Here is a 20396-nt window from a genome sequence, read left to right as displayed (position 1 = left end):
AGCTCTTTAGTTTAATTAGATCCCATTTGTCAATTTTGGCTTTTGTTGCCATGCTTCATCAATACCTAGTTTATTGAGAGTTTTTAGCATGACGGGGTGTTGAATTTTATCGAAGGACTTTTCTGCATCTATTGAGATAGTCATGTGGTTTTTGTCATTGGTTCTGTTTATATGATGGATTATGTTTATGGATTTGCATATGTTGAACCAGCCTTGCATCCCAGGAATGAAGCTGGCTAGTCAGATTTTTAACATGGTAGTATCTTTAAAATTTATTTCAGATAAGATATTCAAAAAATTGAAGGATTTTTTTTTCAATTCTGTATATCCTCTTTCAAAAATCTGTCATATGGGTTGCCATTTTGGAAGTGCAGATTATATGATATGCCTTATAGAGCAGAGTGTTCCCTAAAGGCTGAACTTCTCTGCTTTTATTATCTAAAAAGAGGACAATATATGCGGTGACTATATATTTTCTGAACCAAAATGTGAGATACAAGACATGACAAAGTCTTTCTCCTCACTCCAATGTATGGCTCTATCTTTATGAAAGTTTGACAAAAATTTAAAGCAAGTGGAGTTATGTCTCAGTTTTCTCACCTAGATGACAGAAGTAATAATAATAATACCCAGTATAGAGGGGTTTTACGAGAGTCAACTTAGATAATACCTATAAAGTGCCTGGCACATGGAAAGTATGCAATTAATGTGAGTTAGGTATTTTACGCATTTGATATATTGTGGCTCTTGAAAAGTGCAAAGCTCATCAGAATATTCCTTGACAACCAGGACGGTGAGCTCCCATAAGGAAAGAAGACACCTTGAGTCATGGCTCACAGGTGCCTCAAGGTTGCCATGAGAGACATGTGGATGCCACTCCTGGCTCCCTAATGAAATAGATACATTTATTAGGGAAGAAAGGAGGTACCATTTAAGTGCAGGCCCAAAATTGTCTTCCCAAACTAGCTCAAGGTGTTTAAAGCCCAAAGATTAAAAGGCTTTTTGGGCTTCATATGCTAAACTTTAGAATATTTAGGGTATCTTTTTTTAACTCTGCTCTATAATCTCAATCAGCTACATCATTCTGGCCTGATAGTGACATGCAATGGGCTGCAAGAGAAAACGGACCGAAGTGATTATTCTTGCTCACTCATGTACTTTCATGCCTTTCTGAAGTATTACGTACACTCAGTGGTCCCTGCCATCCCCATGACTGGCCTCCTCTGACCTACACACATTTCCTCTCTTTCCACTATTCATAATTGATAGGATTATAAATTCTATCAATATCTTGGACAAACTCTTGTGTGTGTGTGTGTGTGTGTGTGTGTGTGTGTGTGTGTGTATTTCTCTTGTTCCCTTTATTTTTCCTTTTCACACCAAACTCCACAAGACATTTCTTCTTCTTCCCTCTAGCCACTGTCCTTTTTGTAAGTAAAAAACAAACCTCGACCACTGGTAAAAATAAGAGATTGGCACTTGTCTCCTGCATTAAGGAAAAGGAAAAAGGAAGCCTAGAATTGTGAACTATCCTTAATCAAATCAGAGTCAAAGCCATTGACTCCACTTTCCTCCTAATAAGCCTTATTTTTCTTACCTCAAGTAGCAGCATTTAAAATCAACAGAAAATTCCTGAGCCCATTTTATTGACCTTCTAATTTACTTTCTTGTATTTCAACAACATTGTTTTGTGTTCTTTTCATGTATTTATTGCATATATTAATATTTCATCCAAATTACAAGCACATGTGGGAAGATGATACTTATAACTTATTTATAATAAGTCCCAAATTTCACGTAAAAAACCTGTCAAATGAACTTTCAGAACTCAGCCTAATTATGTAGAGAAAATTACCTAGACAGAGAACAAATTAAACCTTCCTTTGCTACAGAGGTTCTCCTTGGGCCTTAAGTTTGCCATTCTGAACACTTTACCATTTATTATGTGCTATCTGATACAGTGTTTAATTTCTCTGAGCTTTGTTTCTTCAGCTGTAAAATAAGAATAATAAGATTTACCCCTCCAGGGTTATGTTCAGAATAACGGGAAAATACATGCACAAGGCCTGGTACATTAAATACACAAACATATTTCCTGTTATTATTTCTATTCTTACTATAAGTATGTATACCATAATGAATATAAACATTGGAGATTGGCTTCCGGTGCTCAAAACTGCGCCTTTGATATCTAACCTTTCTGTACCTCAGTTACCTATATACAAAACAGAGTTAATGTTATTGTATATCTCAAAGGGTTGTTGCAAGGATTAAATGAGACAATCCATATAAAACATTTACGTCACTGCCAATAGCAAGTACTCAATACATTTTATCTACTATTGGTCGTACCAGACTGCAAATTCCTCAGCCTTGTATTATGTACTGTGAGTCCTCAGTCATAAATTTATAAATAGAAGTGTGATAGTCTTTGAAAGTTCAGAAGTGAAACCTGTAAAGACCCCATTCTTACCTTAAAATGTGAAATTGCCTTAAAGAAAGAGGTCAGGGAATAAAAGTTGGCTCAAATATCATTTACAGTGGACAAGGCCCACTGCAGCTTAGAGCAGGCATTTCTATTTAAAACCTGTAGGGAGGTAATAATCTGACAAATAATTGAGGAGGTAATTGGCTATAGGTTTTTGTGGTGGACTTTAGATTTTCAAGTATCCCAAAGTAGTAGGCACAAACCAGGAATCTCCTCTATTTGGAATGGTGCTGATCTCAAGTTGGATCAAGCTTGGAGCTCTGTACTGGAGCAGAAGGCAGCAGCTACAGTGTCCAGGAGTGTTCTCGCTAAGGCTGGGATTCCCAGTATGGGGCAAATTGAAGACAGGCTTTGAGGCAGAGGAGCCAGTGCACAGCCACAAAATTACAATGGGGAGACAGAAGGCCCATGGCTACTTGCAGACTGAATCCTCCTGGGAGTGGACAGCTAGATTCAAATGCAAACAACAGGACCAAGCATTGAGCATGAAAACCTTGTTTATAAAGCGGAAACTGTATTTCAAAATTACCTCATGTGGTGGAAACGCTGCTATGTATGAGCCATTGTTTATAAGTTTACGGATACCTGCAAAGAGAAGAAAAGGACAGTTATTGAGTTAGTTTCAATGAAACATTTCCTCTGAAGCAACAGAAATATACGGGGAACAATGAATCGATTAAAAAGTTTAAGATAACCCAAATGACTTCCATAGCCACATCACCTATGAGGACAGTGAGATTGTGAAAGAAACCTGATACTGCATCTAGTTATGTCCTTATGATATTAGCAAATGAAGATTTGCAAGTTGCCACATGATTTTACTTTACCATATCATAAAATATTGGGCATTTAACCCATTTAGTTAGGATCATGTGACCCAGAAGCAACTTTTTGTTTTTCTCCAAATAACAAAGTTGGTCAAGAAAGAAGACAAATTCTATATCCCACCCAGTCCCCGTCCCCTACCAAAAAAAAAAAAAAAAATTTAAAGGATATTGGTATTGAGAAATACTTAACTGTATAATACCAAACAAAAAAAGACATAAATAGCAATATGAGACACTTATTAAAATCTCCTCCCTCTCAATGAGGGTAGAGTGAAATGGACACTCTCATATACTCCTGGTAAGAACAGATACTGAGTGAGCAACTGTTGTTGCAATATTATTTATATCAGTAAAGAATTAGAAATAATTACATATCCAAAACTGATAAATCATTTAATTTTTATAGCACAATCAATTATAATAGGTACATAGTAAATAATAGTGATTTGATGAATTTTATTATGGAATATTGTACAGCTATTTATAATAATGTTTTCGAAGAGTAATTAAGGGCTTGAGAAAATATTCATAATGGTAATTTTTTAAAAACCTGAAAATTATAAACGCTAAGACATCTAATTTATATGTACGTCTAATTTATATGTACACACACATAAATTTATATACATATATATAAACTTAAAAATGTATAAGTGAGAATTGCAGTTAGGAATAATTTTAATTCTTCTGTATTTACTACAAAGGGAATGATACCCTTATAATTATTTATAATGTCATAATTATTTCAAAAGACTACAAAACAATATAGTACTAACATTTAGACACATTTTCAATTTATATTCTGGATTTCATTATTTTCAGTTTCTTTCTTTTTTTTTTTTTTTGAGACAGAGTCTAACTCTGCCACCCAGGCTGGAGTGCAGTGGCATGATCTCGGCTCACTGCAACCTTCACTTCCCGGGTTCAAGTGATTCTCTTGCCTCAGCCTCTCTAGTAGCTGGAATTACAGTCACCCACCATTGTGCCTGGCTAATTTTTGTATTTTTAGTAAAGACGGGTTTTACCATGTTGGCCAGGCTGGTCTTGAACCCCTGATCTCAGGTGATCGAGCCACCTTGGCCTCCCAAAGTGCTGGGATTACAGGCTTGAGCCACCGCACCCAGCTTATTTTTAGTTCCTTAAAAATTACTTACTAAATTTATTTCTTTATTTTTGGTGAAGTTTAGGTATGTGAGTTAACTGTTTTGAATGCTCAGTAATAAATAAATTATTAATTAGAAGAACAACAGTCTGAAGGTTTTTCTTTAAAAAGTGGCTATCAGCCGGGCACAGTGGCTCACACCTGTAATCCCAGCACTTTGGGAGGCTGAGGCGGGCAGATCACCAGGTCAGGAGATTGACACTGTCCTGGCTAACACAGTGAAACCCCGTGTCTACTAAAAAATACAAAAAATTAGCCGGGCGTGGTGGAGGGTGCCTGTAGTTCCAGCCACTCGGGAGGCTGAGGCAGGAGAATGGTGTGAACCCGGGAGGCAGAGCTTGCAGTGAATTGAGATCGTGCCACTGCACTCCAGCCTGGGCGACAGAGCAAGACTCCATCTGAAAAAAAAAAAAAAAAAAAAAAAAAAAAAGTGGCTGTCTTGAAACATAGTGTATTTTACCTATATAGCACTCAATTTTAATAAAATCAGTAGAGATTGGTACCAGTTTTTGCTGGCTGTCAACTTTTTATTTTCAAGGCTTTTAGGATATGACTAACATTTGATCCCTTCAAGCATTTCGTCACCCCTATAATTAAAAGTATATCTTGTTTGTTACCTATTGCTTTCTGCTCAGCTCTATGTAAATTCTGCAATTTTATTTACTTTTTCTAGGTGAAACATTCTCAAGTTTATTTTGTATTATACATGTTGTAGCATACTGCTAAACATTTAAACAACAAAGAAATTTAGAAAATTAAAATTAACTATTATTTCACCTTCCAGAGGTAACCTCTAAAAAGTTTCTTACATATTCTTCTAGAGTTTTTGTCTTTTTATGTATGTGGGTTTAAGAAATGAAATTACATGAGACATATAGTTTGTGGATATCTTTTGGAGTTGATAAATAACGAACTCATAACCAATTTACAATCTCCCTGAGTATAGGGCTTATGTCATATACTTTGTAAAACAGATGCTTGAAATTTTTATGTTAAAATAAGAGTAAATAAATGAAACATAACTTTTAATGAATGTACTACATGGACACAGCCTAACTTATTTTTCAGTCCCTAAGCATGGACACGTAAGGTATTTCCAGGTAATTCTATTACAAACAAGCCCATGATGAGCAAATTTCTGCATATTTTGTCACTCAAAAGTCTGATTATTTGAGGGGGATAAATTTCAAGAAATAATATTTCTGTTTCAAAGTGTTTTCACATTTCACGTTTTGATATCTATGACCAAATACCCTCAAAAAAGTTTTTTTTGTTTTATTAAAAGGCTGAAAAATGGAATGCTTATAGAGTGTGTGTTCAATATGTTATACACATCTATTTAATGAATTAAAGCAAAGCTACAGCTGTTAAAAAAAACAATAATTCTGGGTATAAATAGTAACAGCAAGTTCTACTCTGTTATTAATTAATGTTCTTACCCACTTTTGATATTCCATTTTCATATTTGGTGCGTTCCAGCATGTGATAGACTATTCTGCTTCGAGTAGCATTGCTGAAGAAGGTGTCTTTATTATTTATTATGAAGCTGTTAAGATGAGGGGATTGGTTTAATATTCAAAGCAGAACACAGAATCCAGCAATAGTTACAAGTTCCATTAAAGCTAATGCATATGAAGCATAGTAAATCAGAAGGGAAATCATCCTCTTTAAAAAAAAATTGACAGAGAAAAAGAATTCATAAATAATACAAGGCATTATCAAATGTTCACTTTGTTATCTTCTTTCAGTTTATAAGTGTTCCTATTTCTTATTTCACATGGAACAAGGAGAGAATAGATAGCCCATTGGCTCCCATACATTTTATACTACCTTAAGCAATGTATTTCCAAATAGAACACATCAAAAATTCATGTTATCCCCCATACCATGCTTTCCAATGCAGCTTATCTTGTTTTCAGAGCCTTAACAATGAAAAATCATCCTACCTTTCCCTTGATGCTCTATTATTGTCCCCATGGGAAGAGTAGCAATGAAGAACCATTTGAGAGTCAATGATGTAAGAGCAAAAGCATGAGCTCAAGAGGGATGGAAGGGTCTGTTTCAGTATTTACTTTATAGTATGCTGGGAATCTCGAAAAAATGGAAGTGTCCTGGGTCTTGCTCAACTTCTGACATTTTCTGTTTCTAGTTACTCTATCTATGTGAGTGATAAATCGCCATTGTGTCAAGCACGTAGTCCTGAATTAGAAGGTCTTCTAGGATAGTTGCTTCATCTACACTGCTCATATTCAAACAGATGGCAAACGGTGTAACTTTTCTGACTAAACTGTCTCTCTCCAGCTTTTTGTTCTGGGTCTCATTGCCTCTTGCCTAGATTATGAGTAGAACATCCTCCTAACTTGCCTTGCGTTTTCCCACCTGACCTTTAATGCACAGCTCTGATTTTCAGAGCACTCCCTTACTTTTAGTGTGCCAACAGCTTTCCTCTACAAGCATCATTAAATTTCTTATTTTCCTCCAAGGCTCTCGGTACTCGCATTCCAACCTACTCTTCAGTCTTATGTCTTCAGTTTTATATGTCTAACAGCTCTGCCTTCATTTATCCAATCATCTGTCAATTTGTATAATTATTAGGTTGGTGCAAATGCAATTGCAGTTTTTGCCATTAAAAGTAATGTTGTACCAACATAATATCATCACCTTAAAATCCCATGCTTCTTTTTCTTTAGATTTTGCTCTGTTTCTTCTTCTCTCCCCATGCCACTACATATTTTTACCCGACAAAAAGAGCTATTTCCTTTGAAAAGGCATCCCAGATCCTGCCCTTTGGATGTGCTGCTCTCTCTCTTACAAAACGTGCATTTTATTTCTGTCTTTCTTAATACATTGATTTTACTCTGCATCATTTAAGTTAATATGCACATGTGTCTATTTTGTTAGACTCTGAATTCCTCCAGTATTCTTATCTCTGTACTTGGATGTACCAAATTCAGAGTCCTGTTAATTGTAGGTAGGAGAAGGAATGTCCACCTGCCTCTTTCCCCATTAAATTGATTCAGCATTCCCTCAACAAGTAATTTTTAAGCAGATCAATTCAATTTTTCATGGAGTTACATTATAGAGAGATGAAATAGCTGATGCATAAGTAAAAAGTAAATAACATAATTTCAGATAATTTCTATGAAGAAAAATGAAAACTGTATACTGGGATAGAAAATGACTGGGACAAGGGCACTTTAGGTCACATTTTCAGAGCCAGTCTCTTGGAGGTGGTGGTGTTTGAGTAGGAGCTGAATGACAGGAAGGACTACGCCATATGAAGATTTGGGGCAGAGCATGGCAAACAATGAGAACAGCAAGAAGAAAGACTGAGTTGGGACTAAGCTTGAGCTTTCAACAGATAGAACCAAGGCTTGTATGGCTGGAGTGAGTAAAAGGTGAAAAAAAATGCAGAAGATGGGGTGATAGTGCTGGGCAGTAACTATGGCATCTATGCCCACATAGTAAATAATAAGAAATTTGAATTTTATTGGAAGTACAAATGGGAAACTGTTTCAGAGTCTTAAGAAAGGTGGTTGTATGATGTGGCTGATATTTTCCAAAGATTACTCTGGTTTCAGGGTTTAAAAAAAAAGAGTAGAATGTTTTTCATTTGGTGTATCACAGATCCTTAAAGGTCCTGAAAAAGTGCAGCAAAAAGCTGAAAAAGCTTCCGTGAAACTCTCACCTCTCTCTAAAGCCAACAGTCATTTGGAATTTTATTCCTTCTGCCACTACAATATCACTGGAATTAGAAAGCATGCTTCTAGTTACACCTCCAAGAATAAGTAATGAGATAAATAGGCTATGGGGAAAAGGAGGGTTTCCCATTGATTGATGGCTATGTTACATGTTTGGTGGTCTGGAAATCTGTTTCATCCACCCTTTCAACTTCCTGCATCCCAGAATATAGCTCAATTCACAATGGCCTATAGCAACGTAGGCCCTATAGCTATAGTCCTTCAATACATCACGCCTTTTCCTATCTTTATGTTTACCCCAGTTAATTATAAATTTACATTTTTGTCTGCCCCATTAGACTGGGTGTACCTTGAAGATAGAAACTGTGTCATAAGTTCCTTTATATACACAACCTGTGTGATGTAGAAACACAATAAATACTAGTTGAATGAAAACATGAATAAATAAACAGGTATGTATGTAGGTAGGTAGATGGAGACAGTAATGAAACAAATCTCTTTAAAAATTATCATTCATTTTAGTTTAATAAGATTGAACTAAAATAGATAGCTTAATTAATAAATATATGTTAATTGAAGCAATTATAATTATAATTTATTTATTTATTACAGCAATCTATTACTCAAACATGCTAATTAACAGTAATCCTATTATTATTAACATTATTGTTATTTTAACTGAGTCACTACTACAGTAATTATTTTTAAAGTGTTAGAAACTAGACTACCAGTCCATAGGTCTACAATTAATTATTCACTACTGAATGTCTCTAAATCATCAAATTGATAGCGAATTAATAACATTCACTTAGTGTTGTTTATAAGTTAAGTGTGTATTTTAATACAATGATAAGTTCTCTGACGTATTTGGTAAACAATGGAAATGGTCCCAGGTGTTTTTATTCTATAAACAAGCCCCACCAAGATATAAAGGTAGGCAGTATGAAAAAAGAGGGGAACTCACTGGTGAATCCGTGCACGGCTGAAGGGGCCAGTATAGCAGTCTGACTCCTCTAGGTCTGGAAAAGCTGACTTGTCAAGAACCATTGGGTTTTGGGCCATCCAGTTTTTGATTCTTCTAAAATAAGTTTGCATCCTGGAATGAAGTCACATTTGAGAACTAGATTAGGTTGTATTCCAAAGCCATGACTACCTTCCACTACAATTCACTTAAGTACTAAAGAAACTTCTTTGAAAAGAGATACACAAACCTACACACACCACACATACACGTGCATTGCTTCTGTTCCCACACAAAAGAAGAAAATAGCAAAACAAACCAAATCTTGCAGTTGTTTAAACTCTTCCAGGACAACTATGTTATCCTCATGAAAAAATAAAATAATTGTGGAAAAGATTTCAGAAACAGGATACATAAAGATGGTGGTAGGAAAGAGATTTTTTGTTTTTGTTTTTGTTTTTGTTTTTTTTCTTTGAGACAGTCTCGCTCTGTCACCTGGCTGGAGTCCAGTGGTGCAATCTTGGCTCACTGCAACCTCCACGTCCCAGGTTCAAGCGATTCTCCTGCCTCAGCCTCCCAAGTAGCTGGGAGTATAGGCGCGAGCCACCAAGTCCAGCTAATTTTTTTATTTTTATTTTTTTTTGGTAGAGACGAGGCTTCACCATGTTGGCCAGGAAGGTCTTGATCTCCTGACCTCGAGATCCACCCGCCTCGGCCTCCCAAAGTGCTGGGATTATAGGCATGAGCCACTGCGCCCGGCCAGAAAGAGAGTTTTTTTTTTTTTAAGCGCAAAATATATTTATTAAAATGGTGTGTGTATACATGTAGATAGATAGATGATAGATAGATAGATAGATAGATAGATAGATAGATAGATAGACAGACAGATAGATGATAGATATTAATCCCTGCTTTTTTTTAAAACAAACAGCTTTGTGGCTCTAGAAAAGTGGAAACTGAAAATAAATAAATGACTGTGACACATTTAGTGGCACTGGAAGTCATAAGTGTGGTAGACAGCAAAATTTTAAAGTCAAGCAAAACTGAGTTATAATTTATTGCACTGTGCTAGCCACGTAAACTTGTACAAGTTATTTAACTTCTTGCCTTGGTTTCCTCACACATAAAATAAAAGTAATGCTGACTTTGCTGGAGAGTTGTAAATTGGTATTTTATTCTAGACTTGGTAATTAACAATGTGGAACACTGAGGCAAAAAGCCTTTGCAGGACTTTTAAGATTCTCACGGGCATAGGAATACCTTGATTATCTTGTTAAAATGCAGATACTAATTCATAGGCCTGGGATAGGGACTGAGATTCCACATTTCTACATAGCTGCTAAGGGACACTCATATTGCTAACCACTGACTATACTTTGAGTAACGGGTTTAGCATAGACACCTGGCATATACCATTTGGACACTGTTTGGGAAATCTGACATCAGGATACTTTGGCTCCAGCTTTAGATTACATTCATAAACTAGTTCTATTATGGTATATATACTGATTGAAATCAGATTTATTTTACAAAGAAAATAGAAACAGAAGAAAGCTATTGACTCCAGAGATGGACTCTGAAAGTCTAAATTCAGAGTTACTATAATAATAGCTGTGTTTAATAACACATTTGCAATATTTACACACTATGGGTTTCTATCTGGGGAAATTTTTGGCTTCTTCTGCAATAGTAAGTCCAAATAGCAGGATAGAATATTTTCCTAGAGGAGTGTTAAATATAACACACCTCAATATTTCTTTGGCCAACTCTGCTTGAACTTCAGAAAAAAAATTAGTATAGCAGTGGGCAGGCAGCAAGTATTGTATCTCAGGAATTATTTCATTCAACTCTATTATGGTAATATATGATTATTATATAATATCATATATATTATATATGATATTATATAATAATATAATATATTATTATATATTATTATATAATATATAATAATATATAATATATAATTATTATATAATATATTATTATATAATATATTATTATATATTATATACTATTATATATTATATAATATATATTATATAATATATATTATATATTATATAATATATAATATATATTATATAATATATATTATATAATATATATTATATATTATATTATATAATATATATTATATAATTATATATAATATATATTATTAATAATATATATTATATATAATATATATTATTATATAATATATATTATATATAATATATATTATTAATAATATATATAATATAGAAATTATAATTGCCATGTATAATTTGAAATAATAATCAAATCCTAATGCAAGACTTGGTATGTGAAAGTCTGGATTTTTCCTTTGCCAAGTAAGGTTATCACTTACTTATCAAATCATTTTTGGTTTTGGAAGAACCAAAACATTTTTTTCTAGCCTAAAATAATAAATACATAGTATTTGAGGTGTTTACTTTGCTTCTTCTCATTACAAAGACAGCCTTTAAAATAATAAAATATCACCTCATTGGAGAGGTTGATGTATAGACATGTAGAAAACATTGAATAGACTGCACAGAAATTACTCAAGCTTTTTAAATTTAGCATAGTTGATAAAAAGCAATGGGGTAGGAGTTGGAACATGAGTGTTCTAGTGCTGAATTTGCTGGTCACTGAAATTGGGCTAAACATTTCTAATCTTTGAGCTTCAGGTTCTCATTTCTAAAGACAGAGAGTAATTCCATTTGTTCTCCTTCATTAGGAGGCTAGCAGGATCAAATAAAAGGAAGCATTCTAATTACACTTAGAAAATGCTGACAGGCTACAGCACCCAAGGCTCTAGTTGCTCTGACTACATCATAAACAAAGTATAAATGTGAATTTTAAATAGTTTTAAAAGAAATAGAATAAAAGGGTTTTCAGACCATCATTTGTGATGTTAACAGAAAACAAACAATATTATCACTTTAGGTTTTCACATACACTTCCTGTGAAGGAAGGGGTAAATGGAGTCTAATAGTGAAATATGGTTGGCCTAAATTTGAATACCACAATGCAAGGATCTAGCTTATTAATTTCTTGGGCCCTCACTAAGTTTTGCTTCTCTTAATTGAAAAGAAATATTTTGAGAATTAAATAAATATTGTCTGACACCACGGGGCACAGAACATAGTAAGTACTCAATACGTGTTTATAATGATATATGATTTATACTACTAAAAGTACCATCACCATGCCACCAGTGTAATCTAATACATTATCTACACTCTACTAAACCTTTATTGTGTTGGACGTCTTGCAAATCCAAGATATCACAGCACAATGCAAAAATAGAGCTTTAGGTTTATTTGCTACAATCCAGGAAAACCTAAGATAATTCTATGAAAATTGAAAATAAGTCTGGATTAAAGGGTCAAAGGAACTTGACTGAAGCACAAACTCTGCCAAAACAGCTGTGAAAGCAGGGCATGGGGTGTGTGGGTGGGGATGATAAGGGAGTCTTTTTTGTTTTCCTATCTGCAAAACTGGCTACTCTCTGTTCTGCTTCCCTTGCAGAGTCATTTTTAAGATGGTTTAATAATTGAATGTGAAAATGCTTTCTGAATAAAAAATAAATTGCAGTGATAATAAAACCAACAACATCCTTTCAACCTGCTGGAGAAGGGATGATCCTCAAAAGCTGGACAACTGCCTGTACATTATTTATCCCCTAATATGTACCGGTCAAAACTAAGCATGTGAGGAAAATACCTTTCCCACTTCAAGAAAAGAGAAGCACAAGTGAAACTAAATGGCCACGTTTGATTTCAATTTTCCACTTTTCAAACTGTCTACAGATTGAGTTTCCAAATTTTGTAATTTTTTTCAGTTTAATGTTATATAATTTTATAGACTTCTTTTCTATTTATTCCCTACCTCTCCCACATGAATCCACAAAGACATAGAATAAAGAGATTTACTTATTATAAGTAAAATGAAAAGGGGTGGGCTAGAGTAAGGTTCAAGATATTTTAATAATCATTTGGAATAAATGATAACTGAATTTTCATTTTATGAACTTACACAGAAAATAAGAAACACAAAAGATAAAACAAGTAATGACATATAATAGTGTTCATTTTTCTAGTTTACTTTTACATTTGACCAAAACAGAGAAAAGAACATTTTTTACATTATTAAAAATGTTTCGTTAGGATTTAGTATACGCATTTGCCATGATAGCTTTATATATAAACAGACATTTGTTCCAATTTTAATATACAGAATATATACTTTCCCAAGTCTCCAAAGGAAAGATTCTTGTTTAACAGAAAACCTACTAATTATGTAGTAGCAAAGTCTCACTAATTCTATAGTAGCAAACTGAAGCAAATCAAGAGATTTTATCAGCCATCCAACAATAAGCAGGCATATGCAGAGCAAAGACAAGAAAAACCTGCAGTTGTAAACTTGCAAATTGTAATATTCCAATGACTAATTTTATTAGCAAAAATGACTGGAAATTTGCTACATAGACCAGGACCAAATACCCACATGGGAAATGAGAGCTCATTCCAAATTAAAATATGTTAACCTGACAGAAAAATGTGACTCGGTTGAAGAGCATCATTAATTTAAAGAGGAAAAGCTATTTCAGTGCTAATTTCTTTAATATTCATTCTAATTTCAAGTTTTTTTCTCCATAATTTACTTTTCTTGTCACTCAATACTGCCACGCCTAAAATTAATGCTTAAAACAGATGGACATTTTCCCATTCTGATTTCTAAAAGTTTGAAATTACATTCAATTTTATTTGGTAAAGAAACTAGATTTATTGAATCATTTCCTAAGATGGTCTGTTATTCACACCATACAGTTCTAGCTTTTGTGTTATTCTGATTTGTAACATACATCCTTCAACATCATTTAATGGAGCATACTCTACCACATTCACATGCTTTATCTTTGTTAACTGGTTCTTTGGCAAGGTGCAGAAAACGGCCAAGGGTAAGAAGCTTTTTCTTTGAGCATTCATTAAATGGGAGCTGATTTCTTCCAGTTAAATAGTGACAAAAAGATTCAGATGGAAGAGTTTCTTCTGTCTCAGGGTAGTGGTTTGATTGACTCCTTTTCCATAGTTATTCTTACCACAATAGGTAAAGAGCTAATGTTTTGAGGTAAAGCTCTTCAAAAGTTCGTTTTCAATACTAGGATAAGAGCGGTACCTTCCGGGGTTAGAATGAGAGTGGGTCTGCAATTCAAAAGACGGTACATGGCCTTGGTAAAGCACCTCATCTCTCTGAACACTAATCTTTGCCACTTCTTTCAAATGAGAGAACTGGACTGAATGATACAGAAGGTCTTTGTCAGGTTTATTGTTCTGTTACTGTGGGTCATCATTTAAACATTGATCCTGGTCTTATAACTATTTTTAAAATTAAAATATCATAACATGTGAACTTGCGATTAAAGTCCTCCTTCCATAACATTATAACATGGGAAGATTCCAAGAATGGCAATGATAAATTGTAACAAAAAGATTATCAGATTTTAAATGTTATTCGATTTGGCATAAGTTATTTTGGAAATATCTTCGACAAATCAATAGAATTTTTCTTCCTATGATTTACAACTGCTGATATGGGGAATCAAATATCTTCTTATTTTTTTCAAAACGACAAATTTGTTATAAAGAAATGATTCATCACCCACCAACCTGCCCATTGATTTGCTCCTCCCGTCAGTGTAATAGCATTTTTTCCTGAAAAAATAATAGAAAACAGCTAAGGAAAGCCACAGGAAAATAAAGTGATACGAGTGAGTGACAACATTCAATCATATTGAGCATTTCTATACTCCAAGTTCCGTATGCTTAAGAAACTTAAGATGTTTGAAATAACCCAGCATACTATGAGGAATATCAACCTTACATTGTTTTAATTTCAGAATCTAAGATACTAATAACAAAGACACTCTAATAAATCAACAGACCACTTTTGAAAAAATAGAATTATTTTTAATTCTATTTATTGAAAGTCTGTCTTCTGCCACTCAATTTATACTAATTGAATTATTTTCTTACATATTATATAAGGCCATCCATCCATCCATCCCTCCTTCCATTTTCCCGTCCATCCATCTATACATCCATTTAATACGTATGTAATAAATACTTCTGATTTGCTAAGGAGTGTTATAACCACTAAAACTTTAGAGAAAAAAGAGGTAGGGTCAGTTTGTGCCCTCAAGAAGCTTCCTTGATAGTTGAGGTGAGAAGTCATCAGTTAAAATAAAATGTGAAAATGCAAGAATGGAAATACCCAGGAAAGGGAGCTCAATTAGTTTTTACAGGTGGAGGACAAAGGACACAGGGATGTTGCCCCAGAGGATATGTCACCTGTATTGAATCTTGAAGCATGAATGGGAGTAGTCTTTTGGGTAAAGAGGTTACACATGACATTCTAGACAAAGGTAGTAGCAGCATATGAGGTCGTCATTGGGACAAAACCAAGTATTATAAGATTTAGATAACTGCAACCAACTTGGTAATAGCTGGAGTATACACTAAAAGTTGAGGATCCTGATAAAAGAGTGGAGGATGGTAAACAAGGCACAGATGATAACGGGCCTTAACAGCTAATGCTGAGGTTTTTGGATGAAAAGCAAGGGGAAGATATTGAGTGTTTTAAGTAGAGGTATAGCATTTCTTAGAGAAACTAAAAATTAAGGTGACAGAATTAATTCATCTCTTAAATAATTTTCTCTACATGCTCATGTTGGAGCTCAGGAATCTGATATTCTCGCTCTTCTGAAATACCTCTTTATCCCCATCACTAAAATTCATTTCAGAGGATCAGTAAGCTCCTCTATGCTGTGGTACCTAGAAAGCAGGGTTAATAGGACAACTGATATTTAGCCCTAAGTATGTTATTAGCTGCTTAGAAAACTTGAAAACTTTTGGAGATACCATATTTCATTGCAGTCCCTTTCACTGCAAACTTTTGGAGATACCATATTTCACTGCAGTCATATTGCCAGAAAATAATTTTAAAGTTGTCCCTGCCATATTCCAACACTAACTTCAAATATGGAACATTGAAACTTGTTATATCTATCCGAAACTCACACTTTAAATACTTCTCTATTTTTTTCAAACATACACAAAAGCTTGTGTGCGTACTTCACTCAATTCTTACTGGACTGTAAACTCATCTTTTCTTCAGAACCACCGGTACATATATTGTCTTGCACTATTTTCCCTGATGTAACATACCTCTTCACTGATGGTCAATGAATAAATGAATGAGCCTTTGTTTAATTCACAGTTGCATTTAACTCTTTCAGTGCCAGAGAGTATTTTTCATTTCATAAACACTTACTAAATACAGTATTTTTTTCAAAAAAGCTACAAATATGGAAATTGGTATAAAATAATTTCCAGCATCAAATAAATCCAGGGACATCATTAAAAGGAGATAATGTTTACAACTGTAATTATCAGGAGTGGATATGGTTAGGAATATTATAAAATAATATGGAGAGGGTTGGTTGGCATTTGAACTAAACACTACTCTCTGTCTTTATTGATGGTAGTCTGAATATTTCTCTTAAACAATTAAAAAACTTTGAGAAAATGCTTTTGGAGAAATAAAGAAAATGGAGAAAGTCATACAAAATGAATATAAATACTTTTTAGAACACTTATATGGTAAGAACAAATAAAAATGAAAAATAATAGACTTAATTCTCCCTGTTGAAAACGAAAGAGACTTCTCCTCCCTTTCTCTTCTGAGAGCATTAACTTAAGAAAACTTGCCATTATAAGTACTTTCTCCTCTCTTTGAAATGTATATGAATTCTTTAGAAAATGCGATGGGCCTTTTGTCAGGATTTAGGAGCCGTCTTTTTAAAATGTAAACATGAAGGGAGGTAGCAGTCCCCTGTCCATTTCTGTGAGAGGTAGGAGCTTAACTTTGGCGGATGCCTTGCGCCAAGTTGCAGAACTACCTCCTGTCAAAAAGATATGAGAGGTTTTATTTCTCTTCCGTATGAAGCTAATTAACAGCCCAATTACCAGGTGAATCTATGATGAACTATGAGTGATGATACGGTTTGGCTTTGTGTTTCCACCCAAATCTCATCTCGAAGTGTAATCCCCAGGTGTTGAGGAGGGAGGTGATTGGATCATGGGAGCGGTTTCCCCCAAGCTGTTCTCATGATAGTGAGTGAGTTCTCACGAGATCTGAGGGTTTTATAAGTGTTTGGAAGTTCCTTCTTCATTTCTTCTCTACTGCCACCTTGTGGAAAAGGTGCTTGCTTCCCCTTCCACCATGATTGTTAAGCTTTCCAAGGCCTTTCCAGCCATGCAGAATTGTGAGTCAATTAAACCATTTCCGTTTATAAATTACCGAGTCTCATGGAAGTTCTTTATGGCAGTATGAAAACGGACTAACATAGGGCTACTTATTGTTTATTTTGAGAACACGCTTACAATAGGTTGTATTTGTTTGGCTATATTAAAAAAAATGAGATTTCCCTCTGTCTTTATAAATTTTAGTGAATTGACTATGATATGCATCACATTCTAGTTTAATATTTATTCAATAACGAAATGGTTTTCTTCCTTTTCTATCTTTGTGGAGAGGTTTTCTGGGTGGGGGAAATTTTGTTTTTATATTTTCAATATACTGCATATCTTTGATCCAGGAAGCAAACAACAACCTGTAATTCTCCTTAATTCTTCTGTATAAATGAACGTGCAGGGCCAAATCCTTTTCTACCTATAATCTTCCATCCTGTAATTTAGTAACTGCCTACTGTTCATGTACGGTGCTTTATTTTTCCCTTAATTTTTCATTTGAAAGGTTCTGCTATTTTATACCTTGTGTCAAGGCTGCAGTCATCTATCTACCTATTACAACAATCACTTCATATTATAAGTAAATGATTGTCTCAACCACTGTTTCCAGCCAGAGTCCAACACAGTCAATGGCTACATGTGGAGATGCCTGTGGGACTAAGTGAGGAGGACAGTTAAATGAGTGAAATCCTGACCCCCATGCTCCTATTTTATAGATTGGCCTCCCTTTAGATTTTATATTTCATATTATTTTTGCATAAAAAGTGATCTAAGTTTAACCCCAATTATGATAAAAATGATTGCTCTTAATGTTTTTTTTTTGTTGTTGTTGTTGTTGCTGTTTGTTTGTTTTGAGATGGAGTCTCGCTCTGTCGCCCAGGCTGGAGTGCAGTGGCGCGATCTCGGCTCACTGCAAGCTCAGCCTCCCGGGTTCACGCCATTCTCTTGCCTCAGCCTCCCGAGTAGCTGGGACTACAGGCGCCCGCCACTACCCCCGGCTAATTTTTTGTATATTTAGTAGAGACGGAGTTTCACCGTGTTAGCCAGGATGGTCTCCATCTCCTGACCTCTTGATCCACCCGCTTCGGCCTCCCAAAGTGCTGGGATTACAGGCGTGAGCCACCGCGCCCGGCCGCTCTTAATGTTTTACAAATATAGCCCCAAATTTGCTTTGTTTAAAATATTTGTGGGAGAAAGAGCTTGACAAAAAATGTGAGGTTGGCCCTATCTGGGTACTCCATCTGAGAAGCCGCAGGATGACTGAATTGTCTTAAAATGTGCTGAACTCTCTTATGTGTGAGAGGTAAGCATGAATAGGAATCAGCTTTGGATCGCAAGAAAAATGCTAAAATGATCTGACATGTCTGGAATGCAGAAGACACAGGCTGAGTCCTTCCTGATATGACAAAAACTAGAAAATGTAGACTATTATAAACCTTTGAAATTGTCCTGGTTAGACTTGAAACATCAAGTCCAACATGTAGGTCATATTTACTTTAAAGAAAAGTCAAGAAAGTAGTGGCTAGAAAAATGTAGGCAAATTAAAATTTTACACATACATCCAAGCAGAAAATTTAGATAAAATGCTCAAGATTCATGTTTATGACAGAAGGAGGAAGAAAAGAACTTGCAGAAAGATTATAGCTAACAAATCTTGTAACTTCGTTAAATATGACAGGTAGGTTTCAAAGTTGAATAAATATGGAACTGCTCTGTATGAGTAAAATTTTGAATGCATAAATTTTTAAAAAATATTATCCTAAAAAGAGATACATATGTTTCCTATTTAGGTTATTATTTTATATAATTTAATTTTAAGGCAGTATTTGTTCTTGAATATGCTAACAATTGTCAATTGGAGACTAGATTGGCCATCACGAAAATAATTTGCCACTTAGTTTATGCTTGAATAGCATTCCTTTATTATGAGTTGGCTGCTATCCCAAATTTCCAGTGTACATTGTAAATAAATGACAAGTAGTTCCTAAGGAGTTAATGTTACATCCATTATTTAAACTGGTCTGGGAAGATCTTCCAAAAGAACTCCAAGCAGTTCTCAAACTCTTTTCTCAAGAACACCAGTATTACATGGAAATTAGGAAAAGGCTATACAATTTATAACTGCCTCTTGAAATTTATAAAATATATAAAGACTATTAAAATATTAAAATATCCAAGACAAGATTTCCTTACCATGGACATCACAAACATTTGGAATGCTTGCTAAAAATTTATATACCCAATCCCATTCCAAAGCTAATATGCCAGAATCTCTGGGAGCAGGTTCCAGAAATCTTCATTTTTATTACTTCCCAGGTCATTTTAAGGTGCTCTAAAGACTGAGAGCCACTTCTCTAAAAATATTTTCAGTAAATATTCTTATTTATTAACTCAGAAGTTCAGAAACAAATTTGGTCACAGTATATTCTTCTTTTAAGATCCTGTTGAACTACTAATACTTTGACACACTTTGGAAAATGCTGCATATTTTAAAATATTTTTATTGGTAAATCATGAGAATTTCCACGGTATTTTCTAAGACTTTCCACGATCACAATGCAATAATCATATTTTTTTGAAAAACATTATAAAGAAGAAACTTCAGGCAAAACACCAATTAAAAGGGATAGTAACTGCACATGTTCCATGTTTTCCCCCCCTTTTTCATTTTTTCCTTGGATATAGTAGAACTCTTCTTTTACATGCATTCCTACCAGGTAATTAAAAAATGAATATAGTTTTTTTAAAAATGATCTGAGTCAAGAAAACATCCTCTTCAAAATCTCCCTTGGGACAGAGCAACACTTGTGGCACACAGCCCAAAGACCTAAGCTCTAATTCATACAAAGGAAGGTCACTTACAATCCAGCAAGAGAATGTTTTTAATGTACTTCTTAGGAAGAGAAACAAAGAAATTAATTGTGATAAAGATTTTTTAAATCTAAGTTAAGGGA

At 34.5% G+C, this 20396-nt stretch overlaps 1 protein-coding gene across 6 annotated transcripts in view, besides 2 other annotated features; it reads right to left on the bottom strand.

Annotated features, from left to right (window-relative positions):
• Nucleotides 1-20396, bottom strand: part of ANO3 (anoctamin 3) — a 474482-nt gene that overhangs the window by 122811 nt on the left and 331275 nt on the right. For 4 of the 6 annotated variants that reach the window (NM_001313726.2, NM_031418.4, XM_017018118.3 and 1 more), the window contains 4 exons: nucleotides 14800-14844; nucleotides 9143-9274; nucleotides 5917-6023; nucleotides 3018-3073 (listed from right to left, as the gene is read on the bottom strand). In NM_001313726.2, the coding sequence (NP_001300655.1) occupies nucleotides 3018-3073; nucleotides 5917-6023; nucleotides 9143-9274; nucleotides 14800-14844 (340 nt within the window). Of the gene's footprint in view, nucleotides 1-3017; nucleotides 3074-5916; nucleotides 6024-9142; nucleotides 9275-14799; nucleotides 14845-17157; nucleotides 17235-20396 lie in introns of those variants that run through there. The other 2 variants (XM_017018119.3, XM_047427399.1) reach the window with 2 other exon arrangements.
• Nucleotides 16346-16905: an enhancer, noted in NCBI's record as "OCT4-NANOG hESC enhancer chr11:26545121-26545680 (GRCh37/hg19 assembly coordinates)". NCBI's record gives its function as "activates a minimal SCP1, AML or CMV promoter by ChIP-STARR-seq in naive H9 embryonic stem cells {active_cell/tissue: H9 hESC(naive)}" and the evidence as "EXISTENCE:reporter gene assay evidence [ECO:0000049][PMID:30033119]".
• Nucleotides 16906-17465: an enhancer, noted in NCBI's record as "OCT4-NANOG hESC enhancer chr11:26544561-26545120 (GRCh37/hg19 assembly coordinates)". NCBI's record gives its function as "activates a minimal SCP1, AML or CMV promoter by ChIP-STARR-seq in naive and primed H9 embryonic stem cells {active_cell/tissue: H9 hESC(naive and primed)}" and the evidence as "EXISTENCE:reporter gene assay evidence [ECO:0000049][PMID:30033119]".

The sequence above is a fragment of the Homo sapiens genome, chromosome 11, assembly GCF_000001405.40.
Source record: "Homo sapiens chromosome 11, GRCh38.p14 Primary Assembly".
NCBI lineage: Eukaryota > Metazoa > Chordata > Mammalia > Primates > Hominidae > Homo > Homo sapiens.
Note: the sequence above shows the minus strand (reverse complement) of the source record. Positions and strands in the feature narration are given on the sequence as shown.